This window comes from Homo sapiens, chromosome 18 (genome assembly GCF_000001405.40).
Source record: "Homo sapiens chromosome 18, GRCh38.p14 Primary Assembly".
NCBI lineage: Eukaryota > Metazoa > Chordata > Mammalia > Primates > Hominidae > Homo > Homo sapiens.
In genome coordinates this window covers 50,857,973-50,866,216 of record NC_000018.10, presented here as the reverse complement: position 1 = coordinate 50,866,216, position 8,244 = coordinate 50,857,973, and positions in this window count along the sequence as shown.

Below are 8,244 nucleotides of genomic sequence, written 5' to 3'. Positions count from 1 at the left end.
TGGGGTCTGCACCAGCCCCAGAAATTAACTGGGAGCGTTCCTGATTAACAGGCATCCAAAGGAAAGTAGTATGTCTTTCCTTCCTTGCACTTGAACCACATGTTCTGCTTAAAGCATGAGCAGTATAATTGTATTGCACTATTCACTAGATGTGTAGCAATGAACAAGGCAAGAGGTAGAAGGTTTCACTAAATAGGATAGAGGCAAAATCTCTGGCTGATATCTGGAAAAAAAATCCCAGAACAGGAATTGTACTTAGATTGTAAAACCAAAATTGTAAATAAGATTGTACAGGATATAGACTAAATGATTATTCCTAAATAACACTACTTTGCAAAAAGGATAATCTAGATTCCAACTTACTAAGGCCACCAAATGGTGCAAATAGAATTTCTTGTTCATATCTTTGTGCCTGCAACTAAAAGATGATAGCCTAAAAACTTTATTCATAAAGTACTAGATCAAGGTTTCCTAAACTTTTTGGTGTGCTGGACACATCAGCGGTCTGATGAAGCCTACAGACTCCTCAGAATGTTTTATTAAATGCATAAAACAAAATACATAGAATAACCACAGAATCCAATTATACTGAAATAAAGTTACCAGAATAATTTTTTAACCTCCAAATTTCTGGTATAATAATATATATGCTACTTTTTAATGCATTAAATAACAGTGGCTCTAATAACTAGTAATAATGATATTTCAAAGTATTAGGTTGGTGCAAAAATAATTGTGATTTTTGCTATTACTTTCAATGGCAAAAACCTCAATAACATTTGCACCAACCTAATATCTGCAACTACTGTAAAGTGACATAAAAAAATCTGTAATTTCTGCTGGGCACGGTGGCTCACGCTTGTAATCCAAGTACTTCGGGAGGCCGAGGTGGATAGATCACCTGAGGTCGGGGGTTCGAGACCAGTCTGACCAACATGGAGAAACCACGTCTCTACTAAAAAAATACAAAATTAGCCGGGTGTGGTGCCACATGCCTGTAATCCCAGCTACTCGGGAGGCTGAGGCAGGAGAATCGCTTGAACCCGGGAGGCAGAGGTTGTGGTGAGCCGAGATCACGCCATTGCACTCCAGCCTGGGCAACAAGAGCGAAACTCCGTCTCAAAAAAAAAAAGAAAAAAAAAATCTGTAGTTTTTGTTAATTCTAGCAGTTTGTTCCCTACATTGATAATTGAAGAAAATGTTAAATTCCAGTTAGAAATTAGTGTAAATAAATACAGATGCTCGTCAACCTCTGATGGGGCTATAACCTGATAAACCCATCATAAAAATATTGTTAAGTTGATAATACATTTAATTCACCTAACCTACTGAACATTATAGCTTAACTTCACTTACCTTCAGTTTGCTCAGAACACTTACATTAGCCTATATTTGGGCAAAATCACCTAGCACAAAATCTTTTTTATTTTATTTTATTTTATTTTATTTTTGAGACAAAGTCTGGCTCTGTCACCCAGGCTGGAGTACAATGGCGTGATCTCAGCTCACTGCAATCTCCACCTCCCGGGTTCAAGCAATTCTCCCGCCTCAGTGTCCCGAGTAGCTGGGATTACAGGTGTGTACCACTATGCCCGGCTACTTTTTGTATTTTTAGTGGAGACCGGGTTTCACCATGTTGGCCAGGCTGGTCTCAAACTCCTGACCTCAAGTGATCAACCTGCCTAGGCCTCCCAAAGTGCTGGGATTACAGACGTGAGCCACTGTGCCTGTCCACAAAGCCTATTTTATAATAATGTGTTGACTTTCTCATGCAATTTATTGAATACTGTACTGAAGTGAAAAATAGAATGGTTGTATGGATACTTGAAGAATGTTTTCTGCTGAATATGTATAACTATCCCACTATCATAAAGTTAAAAAATCTAAAGTCTCGGACTGTTTGTATATTTTTCCCAGTCCAAGTTCACATACCACCTATGCTTAAGAACTCTTGTACCAGGCTATCAGTTTTTATCTAAGTTCAACTAGGAACCCTGTTTTATCTGTCAGCAATTTATGAGTTCAACTTGTGATCATGGAAAACAATTTCCTGTAGCAATTTCTTTTGTCAGATCCCCAATTTCAAGGTGAAGTGGGGACATTCTCCGTCAACAGGTGTTTTGTGACTTTCAGTAAACTCCACTCTTTCCATTTATTGAGCTTTGCCAGGGACAATGTTACATTCCCTGGGCTTTCCAGTTACTGGGTGAATCCACACTATGACACAAACGCAGGTTTAACTGATTAACATTGCAGAGGTTGCTTTCAAGTTGAAAACTGGCCAAATTTCCCAGCCTCCAAGGTTTACAATTTAGGGAACTTGTCTTAGCTATCTTCTGTTCCACGTGAAGAGGAATTTGTTTATGTCTCTCCTTGTGCCAGGGGCACATATTGTTAGGTCAAGAAAGTAATTTATTTCTGACATACTGACTTTCAGAATAATTGCTGTAGAATATGTTTTTGGAAGCCTCCCACAGAGAATTTTTTAAAAAGCAGTTTACAACTTTATTTTTGGTACAGAAATATATTTTAGCTTCTTTTGTGAAGAAAAATGACATATATGTGTGTATATATATACACATACACATATATATACATATATACACATATATATACATATGTATGCACATATATATACACATATATATACATATGTATGCATATATATATATATATATATATTTTTTTTTTTTTTTTGAGACAGAGTCTCACTCTCTCACCCAGGCTGGAGTGCAGTGGCATGATCTGGGTTCACTGCAACCTCCACCTCCCAGGTTCAAGCAATTCTCCTGCCTCAGCTTCCTGAGTAGCTGGGACTACAGGCATGCACCACCAAGCCCAGCTAATTTTTGTATTTTTAGTAGAGATGGGGTTTCACCATGTTGGTCAGGGTGGTCTGTGGTCTTGAACTCCTGACCTCAGGTGATCCGCCCGCCTTGGCCTCCCAAAGTGCTGGGATTACAGGCGTGAGCCACTGTGCCTGGCCCTTGTTTATATTTTATTTACATTCTCTGAATAGGCATTAGTGGGCAATAGTCATCTTCATGTAAGGTTGGGAAAGGAATAAGATTTCATTTTATGCCAGCTGTGAAAATATTTTTTTTTCTTTTTTTGAGACAGAGTCTCGCCCTGTCGCTCAGGCTGGAGTGAAGCGGCATGATCTTGGCTCAGTGTAACCTGTGCCGCCCAGGTTCAAGCAATTCTCATGCCTTAGCCTCCTGAGTAGCTGGGATTACAAGCACGAACCACCACGTTGGCTGATTTTTTTGTATTTTTAGTAGAGATGGGGTTTCACCATGTTGGCCAGGCTGGTCTGGGACTCCTGACCTCAGGTGATCTGTCAGCCTCGGCCTCCCAAAGTACTGGGATTATAGGCGTGAGGCACCGCACCTGGCCTCAGTTGTGAAAATAATATTCAAAAGGCATTATGCCAACAGTGAGGAAAGGGAAATGGAACTGTTGTCGGGTCACAAACCCTGTGACTCTCAGCCCATTTTGTACTTATTGGGGCAGAAAGGAGAAGAAAATAGGAGAAATAACATTCTGGGGCTCACTGTACTCCATCCAAATGGGGGAACTTAACTCACCTCCTTATGCCAAGCCATTTCCACAAGCAGCCTGCAGACTCCTGTGAAAGCAGTCGCATCTACAGCTCAGGGAAGCTGGTTTCTATCCCCACAACTTTTTCAAAACTGCAAAAGTTCCTCTTTTTTGGTGACATTCAAACCTTTTCTCAGTCCTCAACTTCCTGATTCTTTCAGCCAAATTTGCCCCAGCTGATCTTCCCTTCCTTCTGGAAACACTTTTTTTTTTTTTTTTTTTTTGAGGTGGGGTCTTGCTCTGTTGCCCAGGCTGGAGTGCAGTGGCTCCATCTTGGCTCACTGCAACCTCCACCCTCTCCGGGTTCAAGCGACTGTCCTGCCTCAGCCTCTCGAATAGCTGGGATTACAGGTGCCTGTCACCATGCCTAGCTAATTTTTGTATTTTTAGTAGAGATGGGGTTTCACCATGTTGGCCGGGCTGGTCTCGAACTCCTGAACTCAGGTGATCTGCCTGCTTCAGCCTCCCAAAGTGCTGGGATTACAGGCATGAGCCACTGCACCTGGCCTGGAAACACCTTTTTTGGTTCCCCTGGCCCGGGACTCTTCTGGATCTCTTGCCTCATCTTTGCCATTTCCTCTCCCTTGTTTTCATAATTAGGGGTGATCCCCAAGGTTCAATTCTAAACTTACCTCTACTGAGAGGACTCTCACATCTGGGTGCCCCACTGTGAGTTTTTACTTTTGATCCAGTCCTTTTCCCCCAGTTGGCACCATTCTGTCAGCAAACACCTTTGGAGTGCCTACTTGGTTTCAAACAAATATACGATTGTCCCTGACATGACAGAGCTCTCAGGAGGTGGCAGAGAGGTGAAGAGAGGTGGGAGACAGATACATCTACAGTTAATTATAATGTCAGTGCAATAAGAGAAGTGTTACAGGCTGGGCATGGTGGCTCAAGCCTGTAATCCCAACACTTTGGGAGACTGAGGTGGGTGGATCACCTGAGGTCAGGAGTTCAAGACCAGACTGACCAACATAATGAAATCCTGCCTCTACTAAAAATACAAAATTAGCTGGGCATGATGGCACATGCCCGTAATCCAGCTACTCAGGGGGCTGAGGCAGGAGAATTGCTTGAACCTGAGAAGCAGAGGTTGCAGTGAGCCGAGACTGCACCATTGCACTACAGCCTGGGCAGCATGAGTGAAACACTTGTCTCAAAAGAAAAAAAAAAAAGTATTACAGTGTATAATGGGGGCACAAAGAAGAGACACCCACCTAACCCATTTGGGATGGGGGTGGAGAAATCCATTAATTTTTTTTTTTTTTTTGAGACAGGGTCTTGTTCTGTCCCCCAGGCTGGAGTGCAGTGGTGCAACCAGGGCTCACTGCTGCCTCCACCTCCTGGGCTCAAGCGATCCTCCCACCTTAGCCTCCTGAACAGCTGGGACTACAAGTGCATGCCACCATGCCCAGCTAATTTTTGTATTTTTGGGAGAGACACTGTTTCACCATGTTGCTCAGGCTGGTCTTGAACTCCTGAGCTCAACCAATCCTCCTGCCTCGGCCTCCCAAAATGCTGGGTTTACAGGCATGAACCACCGTGCCCAGACATAATTGCAGAACCGAGGAGTGGAGGTGGGTTGAGCAGGAAAGATGACAAGTCCTGTTTGTAGCCTGTTTAATTTGAAGGCCATCAGGGAGGACATTCCCAGCAGGCAACTGGTGAAGAAATGTTTCTAAAGCTCAGAAGAAAGGTCTGCATTGGACAAATGGACTTGGATGTCACTGGCATATAGGTAGGGTTGGAAGCATGAGAGTTTACTCCTGGAAAACTGAGACCGCTCCTAGAAAGTGAATGTAGTGAGAAGAATGGTGAACCCAGGACAGAGACCCAGGCTCATCATCTGTGTATTGTCTCTTGGCTTCAAATCTGTCCTTCTGGACTCTGTTCTTTGAGGCTATGGTTGAGGTTTGCAAACTTTTCTTTCCAGTCTCCCCCTATTTCTGGATGTGTCTGTGAGGGTGTTTCAGGAAGACATTAGTATTTGAATCAGTAGGCTCAGTAAAGATTTGCTCTCACCAGTGTGAAAAGGCATCATCCAATCTGTTGAGGGCCCAAATAGAACATAAAGACAGAGGAAAGGAGACTTTACTCTCTGCTTGAGCTGGGACATCTAGCTTCTCCTGCCCTTGGATGTCCATCTTCTGCTCTTGGATATCAGAGATCCTGAGTCTTGGGTCCTTGGACTCTGTGACTTACACCAACCCTGGCACTCCCCCTCACCCTTTCCCAGCCTCCCATTCACAGGCCTTTGGCCTCAGATGGAATTATACCATGGGGTTTCCTTGCTCTCCAGCTTGCAGATGACACATTGTGGGACTTCTCTGCCTCCACAATTGTGTGAGCCAACAAATTCTCTCTCTCTCTCTCCTATCTATTTATCTGTCTGTCTGCCTGTCTGCTTGCCTCTCTGCCTGCCTGCCTTTCTTTCTTTCCTTTCTTTCTCTCTCTTTCTTTCTTTTTTTCTATTTTTCTCTCTCTTTCTCCTCTTGGTTCTGTTTCTCTGGAAAACCCTGTCTCTAATTCTCTAATTCAAGGGTCAAAGCCCAGCTGTGCAGTAAGGGAGACAGGTCTCTGAGAGCCTCTAGAGGTGGGGGTAAACCTCACCTCTTTGTTTTTCAGCCCTAGGACTGGGGGTGGCTTCCTGCAGTTATTGATCTGGGCTATCTCAGCACTCCCCTGTGTATTCTTTCAGCTTTCCAATGGCTATTTCATCAATTTCCTGTATTGAACACCCTCTTTTTATAGGGAAACATCTGTTTTTCTGATTGGACTCTGATTCAGACCCCTAGGGCAGGCAGAGGGAAAACCTGCAGAGGAGGAGATGGAAGGGTAAGAAGGGTGCCAAGAGAACTGGAGGTAAGAATAAGGACTGTGTCTTATGGAGACAATGTAGCAGGGAGCTTCAGGAAGGAAGCAATGATGGCCTTTTTCAAAAATTATTATTATTATTATTATTATTATTATTATTTTTGAGACAGTCTTTCTCTGCCGCCCAGGCTGGAGTGCAATGGCGCAATCTTGGCTCACTGCAACCTCTGCCTCCTGGCTTCAAGCGATTCTCCTGCCTTAACCTCCCGAGTAGCTGGGATTACAGGCACACACCACTATACCCGCCTAATTTTTTTTTTGTATTTTTAGTAGAGACAGGGTTTCACTGGTTGGCCAGGCTGGTCTTGAACTCCTAACCTTGTGATCCGTCCGCCTCCGCTTCCCAAAGTGCTGGGATTACAGGCGTGAGCCACCATGCCTGGCCTAATGATGGCCTTTAAAACATGGAGCAGCCAGGTGCGGTGGCTCATGCCTATAATTCCAGCACTTTGGGAGGCTGAGGTGGGTGGATCACCTGAGTTTGGGAGTTCCAGACCAGCCTGATCAACATGGAGAAACCCCCATCTCTACTAAAAATACAAAATTAGTCAGGTGTGATGGTGCATGCCTGTAATCCCAGCCACTCAGGAGGCTGAGGCAGGAGGATCGCTTGAATCTGGGAGGTAGAGGTTGCAGTGATCTGAGATCGTGCCATTGCACTCCAGCCTGGGTGACAAGAGTGAAACTCCATCTCAAAAACAAAAAACAAAACAAAACAAAAAAACAAGGAGCAGATCATACGATCCAGCAATACCTCTTCTGGGTATATGTCCACAAGAATTGAAAGCCGGATCTAGAAGAAATATTTGTATGGCCATGTTCATAGCATTATTCACAGTAGCCAACAGGTGTATGCAACCCAAATGTCCATCAGTAGATGAATGAATGAACAAAATATTGTTCATCCATACAATGGCATATTATTCAGCCTTAAAAAGGAAGGACATTAGGCCAGGTGCAGTGGCTCATGCCTGTAATCCCAGCATTTTGGGAGGCCGAGGCAGGTGGATCACCTGAGGTTGGGGGTTCAAGACCAGCCTAACCAACATGGAGAAACTCCGTCTCTACTAAAAATACAAAATTAGCCCAGCGTGGTGGCGCATGCTTGTAATCCAGCTACTTGGGAGGCTGAGGCAGGAGAATCGCTTGAACCTGGAAGGTGGAGGTTGCAGTGAGCTGAGATCGCGCCATTGCACTCCAGCCTGGGCAACAAGAGTGAAACTCCATCTCAAAAAAAAAAAAAAAAAAAAAAGAAGGAAATTATAACACATCCCACGACGTGGGTGAACCTTGAAGACATTATGCTAAGTGAAATAAGCCAGACACAAACAGACAAACACTGTATGATTCTACTGGTATGAGGTATCTAGGATAGTCAAATCCATAGAGATAGAAAGTAGAATGGTGGTTGCCAGGGGCTGGAAGAGAGGGGAGAGTGGGTACTTGTTGTTTAATGGGTTTGCACAACAATGTGAATATATGTAACACTACTGAACTGTACACGTAAATATTGTTCAGACAGTAAATTTTATGTTATGTGTATTTGACCAGAATTTAAAATAAAAATTTTTAAAAAAGGAGCAGAGGGGCCCAGGAAGATAAAAAGAAGATGTGTCAATTAGGAGGGCATTTAAGATCTTAGGGGTATAGTTTCCAGAGCTAATGGAAGTGAGAGTCAGACTGCAGGTTGAGAAGCAGGTGTGAGGTGAGGAAGTCAAGGCTTTCTGTCCTTTGAGAAGTTTGGAGAAGCAGGGATGGAGAAGTTGC